This window comes from Homo sapiens, chromosome 3 (assembly GCF_000001405.40).
Source record: "Homo sapiens chromosome 3, GRCh38.p14 Primary Assembly".
NCBI classification, from domain to species: domain Eukaryota; kingdom Metazoa; phylum Chordata; class Mammalia; order Primates; family Hominidae; genus Homo; species Homo sapiens.
In genome coordinates, this window is record NC_000003.12 from 9,540,067 (window position 1) to 9,559,518 (window position 19,452).

The 19,452-nt window shown below is 47.6% G+C and overlaps 1 protein-coding gene across 2 annotated transcripts in view; it reads right to left on the reverse strand.

Moving 5' to 3' along the window:
* LHFPL4 (LHFPL tetraspan subfamily member 4) overlaps positions 1-13,756 on the reverse strand; it is a 55,462-nt gene extending 41,706 nt beyond the window's left edge. Inside the window, exons 1-2 of one of the 2 annotated variants that reach the window (NM_198560.3) lie at positions 13,619-13,756; positions 12,208-12,781 (exon numbers count right to left, since the gene is read on the reverse strand). In NM_198560.3, the coding sequence (NP_940962.1) occupies positions 12,208-12,613 (406 nt within the window). In that variant the 5' untranslated portion in view covers positions 12,614-12,781; positions 13,619-13,756. Of the gene's footprint in view, positions 1-9,791; positions 10,995-12,207; positions 12,782-13,618 lie in introns of those variants that run through there. The other variant, XM_017006360.2, reaches the window with a different exon arrangement.
* Positions 13,757-19,452: the final 5,696 nt, after the last annotated feature.

Genomic DNA, 19,452 nt, shown 5'->3' on the forward strand with positions numbered 1-19,452 from the left:
TATACCACTTAACCAGCAATTCCCCTTCTAGGGCTTTATCCTTATACTTACATATGTATTAGATTATTTACATATAACATTATTAACTGAAGCATTATTATAGCAAAATATTGTAAATAAATATTATTTAAATTGTGATGCACCTATAGAAAAGTTTATTACGTGGCTGTTAAGAAAAAGGTGGCTCTTTATACACTGATATGGAACTATCTCCAAGATGTATTGTTGAGTGAAAAAGCAAGCCACAGAACCAAATGTTTAGTATATTACCATTAGCAGTGGCTTGGAAATATGTCCACAAATTCTTTGATATTCCTCCCTTCAAGAGAAGGATCCTAATTCTCCTCTTCTAGAATGTGGGCTGGATTTAGGAACTTACTTCTTGTAATAGAGTGTGGCAGAAGTGATGGTGTGTGATGTCTGCTATCAGGACATAAAAGGCAGTGTGATAGCCAGAACAACCTTGAAAATGAAGAACAAAGTTGGAGGACTCACACTTTCTGATTTCAAACTGACTAGAAAGTGACAGTAATCAAGACAGCCTGGGTTGGTCATAGTGGCTCATGCCTGTCATCCCAGCAATTTGAGAGGCTAAGAGGGAGGACTGCTTGAGCTCAGGAAGTTGAGACCAGCCTGGGCAACATAGCAAGAATCTGTCTTTTCAAAAATTTAAAAAAAAAAAAAATTAATGAGGCATGGTGGTGTATGCCTGTGGTCCCAGCTACTGGGGAGGCTGAGGTGGGAGGATCAGTTGAGTAAGGCTACAGTGAGCCGTGATCACACCACTGCACTCCAGCCTGGGCGACAGAGTGGGACCCTGTCTCAAAAAAAAATAATAATAAAAAATAAGAAATGAAAATAAATTTTAAAAATAAAATAATTTTTTTTTTTGAGATGGAGTCTCACTCTGTCACCCAGGCTGGAGTGCAATGGCATGATCTCAGCTCACTGCAACCTCTGCCTCCTGGGTTCAAGCGATTCTCCTGCCTCAGCCTCCCTGAGTAGCTGGGATTACAGGTGTGTGCCAGCACACCCAGCTAATATTTTTTGTATTTTTAGTAGAGACGGGGTTTCACCATGTTGGTTAGGCTGGTCTCGAACTCCTGGCCTCATGATCCACCCACCTTGGCCTCCCAAAGTGCTGGGGTTACAGGCGTGAGCCACCGCACCCGGCAAAATAAAAATTTTTAAAAGACAGTCTGGTCTGGCATAAGGATAGACATATAGACCAATGGAATAGAATTGAGAGTCTAGAAAGCAATCTATGTATCTATAGTCAATTGACATTTGACAAGGGTACCAGAACCATTCAGTGGAAAAAGAACAACCTTGGTGCTGGGAAACTGAATAGCCACATGCAAAAGAATGATGTTGGACCCTGTATGTCACACCGTATACAAATATTAACTCAAAGTGGATCAAAGGCTGGGCACCATGGCTCGCGCCTGTAATCCCAGCACTTTGGGAGGCCAAGGCGGGTGGATCACATGAGGTCAGGAGTTTGAGACCAGCCTGGCCAACATGGTGAAAACCTGTCTCTACTAATAATGCAGAAATTAGCCAAGTGTGGTGGCGTGTGCCTGTAATCCCATCTAATAGGGAGGCCGGGGCAGGATAATCACTTGAACCTGGAGGGCAGAGGTTGCAATGAGTCGAGATCGCACCACTGCACTCCAGCGTGGGTGACAGAGCAAAATTTCGCCTCAAAGAAAAAAAAAATGGATCAAAGACCTAAATGTAAGAGCCAAAACGACAAAACCTTTAGAGGAAAACAGGGGTAAATCTTTGCAATCTTGGATTTGGCAAGCCACTTTGGGAACATCTGTCAGTTTCTCAAAATTTTAAATACAGAGTTCTCATTTGTCCAGGCAATTCTACTTCTAGGTAAGTACCCAAGAGAAATGAAGGCATGTGTCTACCTAGAAACTTGTACACAAGGCCAGGCGTGGTGACTCATGCCTGTAATCCCAGCATTTTGGGAGGCCAAGGAGGGAGGATCACCTGAGGTCGAGAGATCGAGACCAGCCTGGCCAACATGGTGAAACCCCATCTCTACTAAAACTACAAAAATTAGCCAAGTGTGGTGGCATCTGCCTGTAATCCCAGCTACTTGGGAGGCTGAGGCACAAGAATCGCTTGAACCCAGGTGGTGGAGCTTACAGTGAGCTGAGATCCCACCACTGCACTCCAGCCTGGGCACCAGAGCGAGACTCTGTCTCAAAAAGAAAAAAAAGAAATTTGTATACAAATGTTTATAGCATTCTTCATAATAGCCAAAAGGTGGAACAACCCAAATGTCCATCAGCTGATGAATGGATAAACAAAACATGGTATGCCCATTCAAGGGGATATTATTCAGCCATAAAAAGAAATGAAATATTGATATGTGCTCTAACATGAATGAACTTTGAAAATGTTATGCTAAGTGAAAAAAGTCAGTCACAAAAGACTATATAGTGCCCTGACATGGTGGCTCACACCTGTAATCCCATCACTTTGGGAGATCGAGGTGGAAGGATTGCTTGAGTTCAAGAGTTCAAGACCAGCCTGGGCAACATAGAGAGACCTCGTTTCTACCAAAGTTTTAAAAAAATTAGCCGGGCATGGTGACACGTGCCAGTAGTCCCAGCTACTTGGGAGGCTGAGATGAAAGGATCGCTTGAGCCCGAGACTGAGGCTGCAGTGAGCTATGATTGCAACACTGTACTCCAGCCTGGGTAACAGAGCAAGGCCCTATCTCAAAAAAAAAAAAAAAAAAAAGTCACATGTTATATGATCCCATTTATATGAAGTGTCTAGAATAGGCTAATACATAGAGACAGAAAATAAATTAGTGGTTGCTTAGGGCTGAGAAGGAAGGAGGGTCAGGGGTTAATGGGTGATAGCTAAAGTGCATGAGGTTTCTTTCTGAGATAATGAAAAATATCCTAAAACTGGTTGTGGTCATGGTTGCATAACTCCATGAATGTATTAAAAACCATGTAATAGTTCACTTGATATGGGTGAATTATATGACATATGAATTATATCTCAATACAACTGATACCACAAAAAGGGGGTGGGCAGTGTGGCTTCTTCCTTTTTCTCTCTCGGAGCACTCATTCTCAGGTCTCCTGCCGGCACCCACATGAATGAACTTAAAAGTGGGTCCTCGGCCGGGCATGGTGGCTCACGCCTGTAATCCCAGCACTGTGGGAGGCCGAGGTGGGCGGATCACGAGGTCAGGAGATCGAGACCATCCTGGCTAACATGGTGAAACCCCGTCTCTACTAAAAATACAAAAAATTAGCTGGGCGTGGTGGCGGGCGCCTGTAGACCTAGCTACTCGGGAGGCTGAGGAAGGAGAATCGCAGAACCCAGGAGGCGGAGCTTGCAGTGAGCCGAGATCGCACCACTGCACTCCAGCCTGGGCAACAGAATGAGATTCTGTCTCAAAACAAAAAAAAAAGAAAAAAAAAGTGGGTCCTCTAGCCCAGTTATCCTTAGGATGACTGTAGCCCCAGCTGAGGTCTTGGTTGCAACTTCATGAGAGACCCTGAGTCATAGCTACCTGCCCATCTAAGCTGCTCCCAAAGTACTCTGACTTTATAGAAACAAATATCATAAATGCTTGTTGACTCAGGCGACTACGTTTTGGGGTGATTTGTTTGTTTTTGGTTTTGGTTTTTTTTTTTTTTTTTTTGAGTCAACATCTCACTCTGTCACCCAGGCTGGAGTGCAGTGGCACAATCACGGCTCAGTGCGGCCTTGACCTCTCTGGGCTCAGGTGACCCTTCCATCTCAATCTCCTGAGTAGGTGGAATTACAGGCGTGTGCCACCATGCCCAGCTAGTTTTTGTAGAGATGGGGTTTCACCATGTTGCCCAGGCTGGTCTCAAACTCCTGGGCTCAAGTGATCAGCCCACCTCAGCCTCCCAAAGTGCTAGGATTACAGATGAGTGCCAGTGCACCCAGCCTGGGGTAATTTGTTATGCAGCTATAGATAAATAATACTCTAATTATGTAAAAACACCATTTGCATTTGCTTGCATATTTAAGAAATTTCTTGGAAAGGGTACTCAAGAAACTGGTAATGGGGGTTGTCTCTGGGAGAAACAGGTGGGGGAGAGGATGGAAAGGAGACTTATGTCTGCCTGTGTACCCTTTTTACCTTCCAAATTTTGTCTCTTGTACATGTATTACTTTTCCAAAGAGTCAAAAGTCTGGAAATAATTACAATAAAAATTAAAAAAAAAAAACCCTTTAACAATGAACTGCTGTCTACAAGTAAAGTCTGGGGTCAGGCATGGTGGCTCATGCCTGTATCCCAGTACTTTGGGAGGTCGAGGTAGGTGGATCACCCAAGGTCAGGAGTTCAAGACCAGCCTGGCCAACATGGTGAAACCCCGTCTCTACTAAAAATACAAAAATTAGCTAGGCATGGTGGTGGGCACCTGTACTCCCAGCTACTCGGGAGGCTGAAGCAGGAGAATTGCGTGAACCCGGGAGGCAGAGGTTGCAGTGAGCCGAGATCAGACCACTGCACTCCAGACCAGGCCATAGAGTGAGACTCTATCTCAAAACAAACAAACAAACAAACAAAAACAAATAAAGTCTAAACTCCTTACCATGACTTAGAAGGTCTCTACAATCCAGCTCTGGCCCACTTCCCCAGTCTCAACTCTTACCTTTCCTGGCCTAGTTGCTTAGAGTCCCCAGATACAGCTACTATTCCCACCTCCATGCCTGTGATCATCCTGTTCCTCTTTCCTACCCATCCTTTAAGACTCAGCTCAAATGTTACCCTTTTGGGAAGACTTCCCTGGCTCTCTTTAACTGTGTTGGAAGTCCCCTCCCTGCCCTCAGAATACCCTGTACATGAATCTCCCATTTCATGTATTGTACCATATTGTGATGATCTGTTTTTGTTCCTGCCTCTCCCATCAGACTATGAGCTCCCTGGGAGCAAGGATTCTTACTCAGGATTTCTAGAGGCTAGCACAGTGCCTGACACACACACACGACACGGTCAGTAAAGGGTTGATGTGAGAAACACAAGAAGAGGGGTGGGGAGAGGGAAGTGAGGCAAAAGTAAAGGGAGGGAAGGAAAGGAGAACAGAAGAGAGGAAAGAAGGTAAAACAGTGACTCAAAAGTACTAAAAAAGAGAGAGGAAGGAAGGGAGAATTGGGGGAGGAAGAAAGAAATGAGGGAGGAACAGAGGAAAGAGGGAGAGGAGGAGGGAAAGCGGAAAGAAATTCTCTCAATGTGTTTATCAGTATCACGCACATACAACAAAGACAGTGGAAGAATAAAATTCCAAATCAAATCTGAAACAAGACCCAGGGCAATGTGCTGGGCATGGTGGCTCAGGCCGGTAATTCCAGCACTTTGGGAGGCCAAGGTGGGAGGATCACTTAAGGCCAAGAGTTGAACAGTCTGGGAAACATAGTGAGACCCTGTCTCTACAAAAAATAGAATAAAGGCCAAGGTGAGCAGATCACCTGAGGTCAGGAGTTCAAGACCAGCCTGGCCAACATGGTGAAACCCCATCTCTACTAAAAAATACAAAAATTAGCTAGAAATTGTTTGAACCCAGGAGGTGGAGGTTGCAGTGAGCCAAGATCATGCCATTGCACTCCAGCCTGGGCAACAGAGTGAGACTCCATCTCAAAATAAATAAATAAATAAGATAAAATAAAATAAAATAAAATAATTAACAAGGCATGGTGGTGTGTGCCTGTAGTTCTAGCTACTGAGGGAGCTGAGGTGGGAGGATTTCTTAAGCCCGGGAGCCCAGGGTTACAGTAAGCCATGATCGCACCACTGCACTCCAGCCTGGACAACAGAGCCAGACTCAGTTTCAAATAAAAGAAAAGAAAGAAAGAAATGGAGAGAAATGTAGATGAATATTCTATGCCATAGTGATGGGAGTTCCTGGTTGAGGTTCCTAGCCCAGAGACCCTGATAATTAAGAACACACATCTGGGCCAGGTGCAGTGGCTCACACCTGTAATCCCAGTACTTTGGGAGGCCGAGGCCAGCGGATCACTTGAGGTCAGCAGTTCGAGACCAGCCTGGCCAACATGGTGAAACCCTGTCTCTACTAAAAATACAAAAAATTAGCCAGGTGTGGTGGCACGTGCCTGTAATCCCAGCTACTCAGTAGGCTGAGACAGAAGAATCGCTTGAACCCGGGAGACAGAGATTGCAGTGAGCTGAGATCGCACCACTGCACTCCAGCCTAGGTGACAGAGGGAGACTCGGTCTGAAAAAAAAAAAAAAGAAAAAGAAAAAAAGAACACACAACTGGAAGGCTGAAAGGTACTCACTTCTAGATCCCCCAAACCCCTCTACCTGCCTCCTCCCACCTCCAGGGTCCACCAGCTTCCATTCCATTCTACACATTCTATTCTCTGCTGCGGTCCAGGTACCAGGGTGGTGCCTGGCACACAATAAGCACTTAGTATTGAATGAATGTGGTCAGAACCACCTCCCTTCCATGGAATGAGGATAGGTCTGGGTACAAGTCTCACTCTGTCACCATGAACTTGTCCCTTCTCTCTGAGACTCAGACCCAGTCCTTACATCTTTAAAATGAGGGAGTTGGGGAAGTGGATTGATAAGACTCTTTCCAGCTGACAGTTTATGCCTTCTTAAGCCCTTTGGTCATCCCAGCAAGTCCAAACTCTAAGTGTCAAAGATCCCTCACAAACTGCTCTTCCCTCGGACTATGTCACAAGAGTAACAGCGACTATGTATTGAATGCTTCTCATACACCAGGACCACACTCAGCATTTTACTACCTTCATTTCCAAAGCAGGTGCAATGATAATTTCTATTTTTATAGATGGAGAAACTGAGATTCAGAGAGGCAAACCCATTTCTCCAAGGCCCACAGTTGGAAAGTGGAAGAGCAGGGATTCTAAGTCCTCTATTCTTGGTTCGTTTTGTTTTATTTTTGAGACACGGTCTGGCTCTGTTGCCCAGGCTAGAGTGCAGCGGCATGATCATGGCTCACTGCAGCCTCAACCTCCTGAGCTCAAGTAATCCTCCCACCTCAGCCTCCTGAGTAGCCGGGACCACAGGCGAGTGCCACCACATCCGGCTAATTTTTAAATTATTTGTAGAGATGGGGTCTCACTATGTTGCCCAGGCTGGTCTCAAACTCCTAGACTCAAGCAACCCTTCTGCCTCAGCCTTCGAAAATGCTGAGATTACAGGCCTGGGCCACTGTGCCTGGCCATAAGTCCTGTGGTCTTACACGACTAGCACATACTTATCCTGGCACCCCCGACCCTTAACCACACTTCACCTTGAATCTCAAACCCAGTTGGGAGTGTCCCCCGGCTAACTACACCGGGCCCACAGGTAACATTTAGTCCATGGAGATTATAGCTCTGTAATTTGTGTATTCACTTCCTGGGTTCCAGTTCAGTGATACAAACAGGTTCTAGATCTGTATTAGACTTGCGTTGAGTTTTAGCTCCACCTTTCACTAAATGTGTGACCTTGGAGCAAGTTATTTCAACAGATGAGGATTAAATGACAACGAGTGTGAAAACGTCTAGCATAGAAGCTGGCACATTGGATATTCTTAGTAAATGGGAACAACCGGGTAAAAAACGTAGCAGAGATATCCTGCCTCTCTACTTAGTTAGCAGTTGACTCTTCTGGCAAAAACATGCTGTTGCTATCCCCACAATTAATCCTCCTTTAACCAAGATCTCGGAGATTTTTGTTCTTTGTTTTGTTTTGTTTTGTTTTGTTTTCTTTTATTGAGACAGGGTCTCACTCTGTCATCCAGGCTGGAGTGCAGTGGCATGATCATGGCTCACTGCAACCTCCGCCTCCCAGGCTCAAGCGATCCTCCCGCCTCACCCTCCTGAGTAGCTGGGACTACAGGCACATGCCATCACAACTGGCTAATTTTTGTATTATTTGTAGAGACAGGGTTTCACCATGTTGCCCAGGCTTGTCTTGTACTCCTGAGCTCAAGTGATCAGCCTGCTTCAGCCTCCCAAAGTGCTGAGATTACAGGCATGAGCCACCGAGCCTGGCTGATCTCCGGTTTTAGAGTCAGACATATGGAGTTACAATTCGGGCTCCACCACTTACCAACTGTATGACCTTGGACAAATGACTTTTTCCTCTTTGAAGCTCAGCTTGATCTCACCTATACAATATGAATAATGGTACCTACTCCACAAGATTGTTGTGAGTATCAAATTATATAATGCATGTAAAATGTTAGCTATTTTTCTGTAATAATGATAACAGTCATAGCAGTATCCAACTGCTGCTGATTAAAGTCGAAATTCTTTGACCCAGCATACTGTGGCCCCCATAATTCCTTCCTCTCCTCTCCTCATGCTGCTCCCCTATGTGGATGCCACACTCAAGCCAGATGTGTCTTTCTCACCGCTGTGTCTTTGCCCATGATCTTCCTCTCCATTCAGGATGCTCTCTCATACCTCCCACCTGGTAACACCCTGCCCAGCTCAAGCCTCGCTTCCCAACTAAGCTGGCAGCCCCCTCTGCTGCTCCGGGTTTCCATGGCATTTCCAGCCCGCACATATTAGTGCTCAGACTGCCCAGGGGAAAACTTCTGTTGGCGCTTGTCTTGCCCATGCTACCCCTCTTCCAGTGCTCACACTTGATTTATCTTTGAGGGAATTGGCCTTTCTCCACTATCAGTCCATGTGTGGTTCCAGGGATAGGCATGTGGCTCGGGCCTTAGACAGAGTCACCATGATTAATTAAGAGGTGGACACTTGACCAAGCTGGGCCAATCTGGCTCAGCCCTGGAACGTTTGCTGGAATTATTCTTTTTCCACAAGCACTGCTAAGCTGAAACAATGTAAATTAGATCTACTAGTAGCCTTATTTGTCACCTTGAAGACAGAAGTGGATTTAAAATGAGCGAGCACAGAGGAACCAAGAAATGGAGAGAGACAGATTCTTCATGGCGTGATTTGAACATCTGGATCTGTCCATGCCCGAAGCCAAATACTCCTGACTTTCAAATTAAGTGAGCCGATAAACCCTAGCCTCTTTATTTTTTTCTAATTTATTTAAGCCAGCTCGAGTTGGGTTTCTGTCATTTGCCACTGAAAAACTGCTGACTAATATAGTGACGTAACTAGACAGTATGCTCCCTGAGAGCAGGAATTGCATTTTATAGACCTAAGATCCTTGGAGACAGGGATGATGTCTTATGCATCTCAGTATTACAGGACTAAGCATAGGGATGGTTATAGAGCTGGTGAAGAACAAACAAAAGAATAAATATCTTTTTGTATTTTCCCAATGCCCCCATGCTCTGCACTCAGAAGACCCTAAAATACTTGAATAAAAGTTAACAGGAACAGGCCAGGCATGGTGGCTCATGCCTGTAATCCCAGCATTTTGGGAGGCTGAGGCGGGTGGATCACCTGAGGTCAGGAGTTTGAGACTAGCCTGGCCAACATGGCGAAACCCCATCTCTACTAAAAATACAAAAAATTAGCCAGGCGTTGTGGCAGGCACCTGTGATCCCAGCTACTCAGGAGGCTGAGGCAGGAGAATCACTTGAACCCAGAAGGCGGAGCTTGCAGTGAGCCAAGATCATGCCATTGCACTCCAGCCTGGGCAACAAGAGTGAAACTCCGTCTCAAAATTTAAAAAAAAAGTTAACAGGTACAAAATCATATGAGAGGCACTTTAATTCTTATCTGACAAAAACAGAGCCCTTTGATTCTCCACAGTTCCTCTGAGGATGACTGATTTATCACTTTCTGAATGGAATGATCTTGATGAAAGAGTTGTCCCAGGATCCCCACAGGGCTGAAAGAGATACTTTATTTTTTACTTATTTTATGTTATTTTTTGCAGAGACAGGGTCTTGCTATGTTGGCCAGGCTAATCTCCAACTCCTGGCCTCAAGCAATCTTCCCACCTCAGCCTCCCAAAGTGCTGGGATTATAGGCATGAGCCACCATGCCTGGCCAAGAGATACTTTAAATCACCTTATCTACCTGCTCCCAGTCCCCTATTGTACAAATGGGAAATTGAGATTTAAACTAAAAGGCTTACTTAACACTGCATGGTGAGTCACAGACCCAAGTCAGCCAAGAACCCCCACCCCAAGACTCGTAGTCCAGTGGTCTGGCTTCTGGCCTGGTGTCACTTTATTAAGCAAAGTGAATCAGTCACTCACCCAGAGAACTCAGAAATCTCTGAACAAAATGGAATAAACTGCTCAACTCTGCCAACTGCCCCCTCAGCCCACATGGGTGGGGCAGTAATGCAAGCAAAAGTGCCCTGGGCCAGAAGTCAAGGACCCCCGGCTGTAGAACTAGCTTCCTCCCTTAACAGCTGTGTGACCTCAAGTAAGCCCTTCCCATCTCTATACTCAGTTTCCTCTCTCTAAAACAGGGGGAGGGGAAGGTGGGATTTGAAGGAGCTGATCTCTAAGGTGCCTGAAATTCTATTATTATATGGGGGTTGTTGGACAATTCATCAAATCCCCAGGATTAAACCCACACAGATTACAGAGAATTTGAAAGCCAAGAGGTCAGCAACCCATCTGCAGACTCCAAATTAAGGTTGATGAGTTGAGGATTCCAGCTTGCCTTTGCAGGAGAAATAGAATAGAAATACATAATATCACCTCCCTGGGTACCACAGAGAAGTATGGAGCCATATCCCCCATATCCTATAGTTCACCTTTCCCACCCTCTTCAAAGATCCACATCTAAATTGAGTTGGGTGAGATGAATTTGAAACAAGCCCATTAGAATGTCCACATCTGCCTTCTTCAAAATAGTCCTTTTAGGAGTTTGGGCAATTCTTCCAATGAGGCAGTAATTCCTCCCTGGATTTGTAAAAGTCCTCTTGTGGAAACAGACCAGCCTCATGACTTTGTCCTCACACCTTGGCTGTCATTCCAAGTGACAATTATCAATTTGATGACCCATCGTATTCTCTATACTTGATCTGGAGTGACTTCCAGCCATTTCCAAAAGTTACATTCCTCCTTTAAAAGATAGAGGTTTCTCCTCAATGAAGATATTCAAGTGATTACACCCCATGCTCCAAAGCTAATTCCCTGCAATGCTCTGAACAATGGAATCATCAGCAAGTGATATAATGCCTCCTCCAGGGGGTCTCTTTTGGAATGGCAGTCACTTGTTGAATGTCCTGAGGTGCTTATTTTAAAAAACCATCTCTGCTGCATGATAATCACATTTCCCCCTTCTCTTTCTCATCCCTGGAAGACTCCAAACTTTTCCCTTCACTAGCTCTCCTCCCCCACCCCTCCCATCCCCTGGCCCCACTTTCCCCAGTCCAACTCTCTTCCCTGCCAGCAATTAGGCAAAAGCCCAAGTTGCTGAGTCTTCAAAATCTATCTCTGATCGAAAGGTGGGTGGAAGTGGGGGACTCTAATGGATCCTGGAAAACTGTCTCAGCATTTCTCATTCCCAAAAAGCCCTTCTCTGGTTCTTAGGGTAAGATGACTGTCTTGGTCAAACATTTCGGAGGGTCTCAGGGACTCACTCCCATTGGGCATGGCACCAGAACTTTCTTGCATGGTGCAGGGGTGGGAGTGGGGATGGAGACCTGCCCTCCAGAGACCCATATCACCCAATGCTTTCAACCACTCACATCTCAAACAGTGGATAAGCACAATAGACAGCCTCTCCCCCTTATCACAGCATTTTAAAGGTTACAAAACACTCTTTCATTTGTCCTTTTGGAATCTTCTCCCCTGTTTTACAGATGAGGAAACCGAGCCTCAGAGAAGTAAAGTGAAACACCCAAGTTGATAGTGTCAACAAATTAAAAGTCCAAGCCAGATCTCTTGATTCACCATTTCATGCTTTTTTTCAACATAACAGAAATTGATCATACCTACAGTAACCCCTCACTCAGATAAATATTTCCCCCAAGACAGCCAACAGAGACCCTTAGAGACACTAACTTAATGCTAACCGAGCAATAAATGCAGCGTACCCATACCCAAGCATACAGACCCACCCACCCAGTCCCAAGGCTCTGTCCCCTGCCCTAAGGTGTCTCTCTGCAGCGTACCCCCTCCCCAATACCCACTGAGGGTCCGTCAGCCAAAGAGGTGAGTGTCTTAACACAGAGAAGCAGAATCTATCCGACTCCTTCAGGAAGGGGACCTGGCAGGAAGGAGCCCCGTCCCTGGCGCTTGTTCTGGGAGTTCCGTCCACCCCCTCCCCTACCTGCCAAGAGCTGCATCCAGGCGCAGATCTTGTAGACCGTAGCCGTGTTGCAGAAGAAGAAAAGCGAAAAGCAGGTGATGCAGCCGAGGATCAGCACCATGGAGAGCAGCACGAAGAAGGCGGCCGCCTTGAAGGCGCTGGACGGGATGGTGCTGAAGTCGGTGAAGGAGCCCCGGCAGGTGAGCTCGCGGCCCGCCAGCCCGCTGCCCACGCAGTAGTGGAAGAGGCCGAAGTAGCCAGGCTTGGGGGTGCTCACGCTGTCGCCCACCCAGTAGGGCTGGATGAAGACCACCACGTTGATGATGGCGAAGCAGATGGTGAAGATGGCCCACAGCACGCCGATGGCCCGCGAGTTCCGCATGTAGTGCTCGTGGTAGAGCTTGGAGGCCTCCTGCGAGGGCAGCATGGTGCCCGGAGGCGGGGCCGGCGGCGGCGGCGGCTGGCGGGGGCCGCCGGCCCGGGACGGAGCGCCGGGCTGCCGGGCGGGAGCTGGGGACGCACGCGAGAAGCGGCCCTGAGTCAAGGAACCCGCGAGGGCGGGGCCTGGGGCAGAGCTGGGGGCGTCTGGGAGCTGCTAAGGGAGAGAGGAAGGGGTCATGAGAGTGTTGAGGCCGTGTCTAGGGGGACTGGCAAAGGTCTCCTACTGGGGGGCCTAGGAGGGGGCCATGAGAAAGTTGGGGGGCGCCTAGGATGGGGATATGAGACCTGGAAGTGCGGGGGGAGGTGCTTGAAAGTGGCCATGGGGGAGTTGGGGAGGGGGTTTGAGAGCTGGTATTACGGGAGTAGGAGGGGACAAGGGGAGGTGGAATGGAGGCTGGAGACTGGTGTTGGAGGACTAGCAGAGGGGCTGAATTTAGGGAGCTCAGAAGGGAATTTGGGGACTGGTATTAAGGGGTAGAAGGAGGTCTGGTATTGGGTGTCTAGCAAGGGACTATGAGGCGGTGGTGGGCGCTTCTAGGATGGGGGAAGAGGGAATTTAAGAGGCTGGGACTGGGTGGTTGGGAAGGTAATATGGGGGCTGGGACGGGGAATGGGGGCTGGTATGAGGGTCTAAGAGGGCAAAGTGGCAGAATTAGGATACAGCTAGAGCGGGATCGGGGGCTGGGACTGCTGGACACGGGGCGAGGAAGGGGGGGCTGTCCTCAGAAGCCAGGGCTGGAGGTAGGCTGGAGGGAGCCTAGGATTGGCGGGCCAGGGTTGGAGAGAGGGGGTTTCCAGGCCAAAGGAACGAAAGACCGGGGCCGGTGAGCAGCGGGGCCCGCGAGGAGCAGGCGGTGGGCAGGGGCTGTCCCCGGGGGGCTGGGGAGCGGCCGGGCCCGAGTAGGGCCGGGGTTGGGGGGGCGGCTGCCCCGCGCCCAGGCCGGACGCGCGCGAGGCTGCGGCCGCGGGGAAAGGGTGCGGGGAGACCAACCTGGGCACGGCCGGAGGCAGCGGATCCGGGACTGGCACGGCCTAGGCGCCGCGGCTCGGCGCTCCCAGCAGCGGCTGCCTCGGCCCAGGCGGCGGCCTCTGCGCGGCCTCCATCTTGCTCGGGTTCTCCCCGGGGCGCGCTCCCGCGCCGAGGCGCGCGCTCTCGTGCACCGGCGCGGCCCGGCGGAGGCGCGCTCCCGAGCGGGCGTGCGGGACGGGGCGGGGCGGAACCGGGGAAGGGTGCTCCTGGTTCTGGCAGTTGGGGGGAAGGGTGGCCACGATACCTGGGGTCCCCCAGCCGGGGCAGCAAGCACACCTCCACAGTAGGGCCCCCGATGTAGGGGACTCCCTTCTTCCAGCCTGAGCTAAGGGGCTGTGAGGCCCCACAAAGCCTATGGGAGTGGGGAAGGAGCTGGAGGGGGTATTATTTGACAGGATTTGAACGGATCTCTTACTCCCAATTACCTCCCCTGGAACCTATCACAGTGCCTGAAGTTGCACCATTACGCTTTCAGTCCTTTGGGTCTTGGAGGCGTTGAAGGTTCCCAGAGTCTCCTAGGAAACTGCCAACACCCCTGGGAGAGGGAACCCCTTAAACTGGTAGCAGCCCACGCCTGCGATGGGGATTCGTTGGCTGCCAGGGCAAGGAGCGAGGCCTGGGGAACCAGACCCGGAGTGAGTACTAGGGGACAGGAGAGAAAGGGGCTGGGACATTTTTGGTTTCCCTCCCTACACTCTCCCCTGCCCCCAGCTCAGCGCCTGGCATGAAGTAGGCACACCATAAAGATGTGTTAAGGAAAAAGCATCAAAGGCCAGGCACAGGGTTAGGTCACAGAACACCCCAGGCGCACCCCAAGGGGGAGCCGGCGTGGTTCATTTCTTTCCCTGCTGGAAAATAGCCTTTGGCTTAGGATCTGTCAAGATGATGTGGGTTTGAACCCAGACAAACTGAGTCTAAAACTGTCTCTGTGACCTTGCACTACCACTCTGTCTAAACCTCTGTTTCCTCATCTGTAAAGTGGGCAGCTTAAGTCACACTTCACAGGCATGTAAGTGGGGTGGGGTGGCAAAAAGCAATCCATGTTAGCAGGTCTCAAATACTGGACCCCATACACGGGTCAATCTCAAAATGTGTATCTGGAGCTGGGCACAGTGTCTTGTGCCTGTCATCCCAGCTACTAGGGAGGGTAAGGTGGGGGGACCATTTGAGGCCAGGAGTTCAAGGCTGCTGTGGGCTATGATCGTGCCACTGCACTCCAGCCTGCGCTACAGAGACAGACCTCGTCTCTAAAAGAAATTTCAACAAGAAATGCAATTTTATCTGCAAAAAAAAAAAAAAAAAAAAATCATGTAAGATTGCCAACTGTCTTTTTTCCAGTGGGGAAGTCGGACTGCTCTTTTTGTTTTGAGATTATGTATTTCCTACTTGCTTCTTGCAAAAAAAAAATTCACTTCTTTTAAGAAATAGTGGTGATAGTTAACGGGAGGTTTTTTAAATGTCTTTATTTGCCAAAATAAAAAGTAGATAGCCTATTTCAATCCCAAATTTTATTAAAGTTATGGATCCATAAAATCCCACAATTTGGAGACCTGGGAACCACGTGAATTAGTCTCATTCAGCGCTTGAACATGAGGTGCTCAATAAATTTGATTTCCCCTTCCATTTGGCTTCTTGAGACGCATCTTGGCTGTTTCCTGAGAACCCTGTGATCCTGGAATCATGAGCTGCAGGGTCTGTGGAGAGTGTTTCTTTCTATACCTTCTCCCACTTTACAGATGGGGAACAGAGGTCAAAGAAGGGGGTTGACTTATCCAGAGAGGTAGATAGATCCTGCCAGTCAGACTGATCAACCTGGTTCATTAATTTATTCAATCATCCTATAAATGTGTGAGGCCCCTGTCATGTGCCAGGCACAGTTACCAGGCTAAGCACTGGGGAGAAGGTGGTCAGTAAAACAGACGTGGTCCCTGCCGGTGAGCTCTCATGGAGCTCACAGCTTCACAGGGAGATGGAAGATGCTGAGGGCAGGGAGCAGGGAGGTGGCCATCATCAAAGAGCATCTCAGAGTCCCCTCTGGGGCTGCTCCTGGTTTGGGTCCTGCCCTGAACATACCAGGTTATTCATTACTCTTTACTCCATACTCTGCTTGAATTATTGCCTTATTGTCTAGCCTGCTGAGCCAAGCTAAGCAGTCCTGGGAAAAAATCATAAAAGTCCACTTATTACTCTTCCTCAAGGCAAGAAGTGAGACTTCTTGCTAAGATGGACCCCCAGTTCCTCTGTGGTTGCTCTGCAGAGCAAAGACACCCTGTAGAGATCCACCTACCACCCACTCACTTCTGACAACAGTGCTTTTTATTTGAAGAATCTTCTTTCTCCTCACTTGATCCCTTAGTGGGTCTCTCTCTCTCTCTCTTTCTCTCTCTCTCTGTCACACACACACACACACACACACACTCCATACTTCACTCCAGAGGGGGCAAATGATCAGGCCTGGACAATGAGAATACTCCATTGTCCTGGACACAGTGACTGGTTCATGAGTGGGCCCATAACCCAAGTCAAAGAGTTGAGAATGATATCCAGCTCATGCATTGCCGTTTACAGAAAAGGGGTGTTCTCTTTCTATTGAGTGTGTTGAACTGAGGGAATTGTGAGCTGAAGCTAGTGGAGACAGAGCTTCAGCAGAGAGCTTGTCTAAGAATAAGGTCGACACAAAGGGAAGCTATGAAATGGAGAGGGAGGCCAGGCACGGTGGCTCACACCTGTAATCCCAGCAGTTCGGGAGGCCGAGGCAGGCGGATCACTTGAGATCAGGAGTTTGAGTCCAGCCTGGCCAACATGGCAAAACCCCATCTCTACTAAAAATACAAAAATTAGCTGGGCATGGTAGTGGGCACCTGTAATCCCAGCTACTTGGGAGGCTGAGGCAGGAGAATCACTTCAACCCAGGAGGCAGAGGTTGCAGTGAGCTGAGATCCCACCACTGCACTGCAGCCTGGGCAACAGAATGAGACTCCTCTCAAAAAGAAAAAGAAAGAAAAGAAAAGAAAGAAAGAGGGAGAGAGAGAGAGAAAGAAAGAAAGAGAGAGAGAGAAAGAAAGAAAGAAAGAAAGAAAGAAAGAAAGAAAGAAAGAAAGAAGAAATGGAGAGAGCATTCTGGTGACATAGTTAGAGCATCTGCATCCATCTGTGCCTGAAAATCTACTTCTGAATTGTTTTCTTAAGGTTACCCAATAAATTCAATTTTTGCTTAAGTCAGTTTGAGTTAGTTTTTAATCACTTCCAATCAAAATAACTAACCTTAATAACTTACCTACATTCCTCTGAAAGAGAGAGAGCAGGGGCATTATTTGTCTAGTATATCACTTTTGTAGAAAAGTGCCTGGGCCAAGCATGGTGGCTCACACCTGTAATCCTAGCACTTTGGGAGGCCAAGGCGGGTGGATCACCTGAGGTCAGGAGTTCAAGACCAGCCTGGCCAACATGGCGAAACCTGTCTCTACTAAAAATACAAAAATCAGCCAGGTGTGGTGGCTTGTGCCTGTAATCCCAGATACTCGGGAGTCTGAGGCAAGAGAAGTGCTTGAACATGGGGGCGGAGGTTGCAGTGAGCCGAGATTGCACCATTGCACTCCAGCCTGGGTGACAACAGTGAAACTCTGAAAAAAAAAAAAAAGAGAGAAAGAAAGAAAGAGAGAGCAAGAGAGGAAGGAAGGAAGGACGGAGAAAGAAGGAAAGAAAGAAAGAAAGAAAGAAAGAAAGAAAGAAAGAAAGAAAGAAAGAAAGAGAGAGAGGAAGAGAGAAAGAGAAAGAAAGAAAGAAAGAAAGAAAGAAAGAAAGAAAGAAAGAAAGAAAGAAAGGAAGGAAGAAAAGAAAGAAAGATGCCTTGATGGGTGAGCTACTCCTGATAGACTGAAAGTAAAAGACCAGAATTTGAAGCCCATCTCTGCCACATGTTAACTGTGTAACCTGGGAAGACGATGGTACTCTTCAGAGCCGTGTTTTCTTCATTTGTCAAATGGAGAAGAACGTAATTCCTTCCCACAGATGTTGTAAGGATTAAAAGAGATAATGGATAGGAAAAGAGCTTTGTAAACTGAAAGAGGCTATAAATGTAAGTGATTATCATTAAAGTTTAATAATAAATGACTTGTCCAAAGAGTTGAAAGAGCAGTAGTATTGGAAATGCCCTTGCTGAGCCATGAGGAGCTGGGACAGGACGTGTTCTCATTTTAAAGACTAAACTTGGAGCAGTTACGGAAAGAAAATCTGAGAGTTCTCTACAGGAAGAACATCTTATCGACCCCAGGGAGGGGCCAGACCAGAATGGAAGACTTGTGCGATTCAAATGGGGACTGTAGATCTTAAGCAAGGATGATGCTGGACTGCATTTGGATAAGAAGAGAAGCCCTGGGTACTTCCAGCCAGTATCCTGCTGAGGAATGATTTGCAACTTGCTGGTAGCTCTCACTGCATTCTAGGTCCCCTGTTCATTGCCTTACATGTATTGTCTCATTTAATCTTCACAATAACTCTGTGAGGTAGTGTTATGGCTGAATTCTGTCCCCTACAAAATTCATATGTTAAAGTCCAATTGCCCAGTACCTTAGAATGTGACTGTATTTTGAGATAGGACCTTTAAAGAGATGATGAAGATAAGAAGAGGTCATACGGGTGGGCCCTAATCCAAAATGCCTGGAATCTTTATAAAAAGAGATTAAGACATGGACAACACAGAGACCAAGGATAACTGTGCGAGGACACGGCAAGAAGGCAGCCACTTATAAGCCAAGGAAAGAAGCCTCAGAAGAAACATTTGCCAATGTTTAGACTTCTAGCCTCCAAAACTGTGAGAAAATTAATTTCTGTTGTTCAAGTCACACAGGCTGTAATATTTTGTTATGGCAGCCCTAGCAAACTAATATAGGTAGGCACTACTGTATGCCCATTTTACAGATGAGGACACTGAGGTTCTTTGATTTACCCAAAGTCACACCTCTAGCAAGTAGAAGAGCTGGGGTTCGTCCCCAAGCAATCTGCTCCAAAGCCCACATTCTTAATTGCCATGTCATATAAACCATTCTCAAGAGTGGATTCTTTTTTTTTTTTTTTTTTTTTTGAAACGCTGTCTTGCTCTGTCACCCAGGCTGCAGTGCAATGGCGTGATCTTGGCTCACTGCAAACTCTGCCTCCCGGGTTCAAGCGTTTCTCCTGCCTCAGCCTCCCAAGTAGCTGGAATTACAGGTGCGTGCTACCATGCCTAATTTTTCTATTTTTACTAGAGATGGGGGTTTCACCGTGTTGGCCAAGCTGGTCTCGAATTCCTGGCCTCAAGTGATCCACCAGCTTCAACCTCCCAAAGTGTTGGGATTACAGGCATGAACCACCAGGCCCGCCCGGCCTATGATTCAATTCTTTACAACTGCTCATTTCCTTTTTATATCCATATCATTTGGTTACAAATACATGCACTGGCATCAGACCATCTGAGTTCCATTTCTGCACCTTATTAACTGCTTTTAAGTGTCAGTTTCCTCATCTTTAAAGTGGGAATAACAATAGTAGTGTCTTCTTCCAAAAGTTTTCAAGAAGATTGAATGAGATATTGTGCATGCAAAGTGCTGAGCACTTAGAAAACATTCAAAAGCTGTTTGCCATTAATATTGTATAGCTCTCCCTCTCCCTCTCCCTCTCCCCCCCTCTCCCTCTCCCCACGGTCTCCCTCTCCCTCTCTTTCCACGGTCTCCCTCTCATGCTGAGCCGAAGCTGGACTGTACTGCTGCCATCTCGGCTCACTGCAACCTCCCTGCCTGATTCTCCTGCCTCAGCCT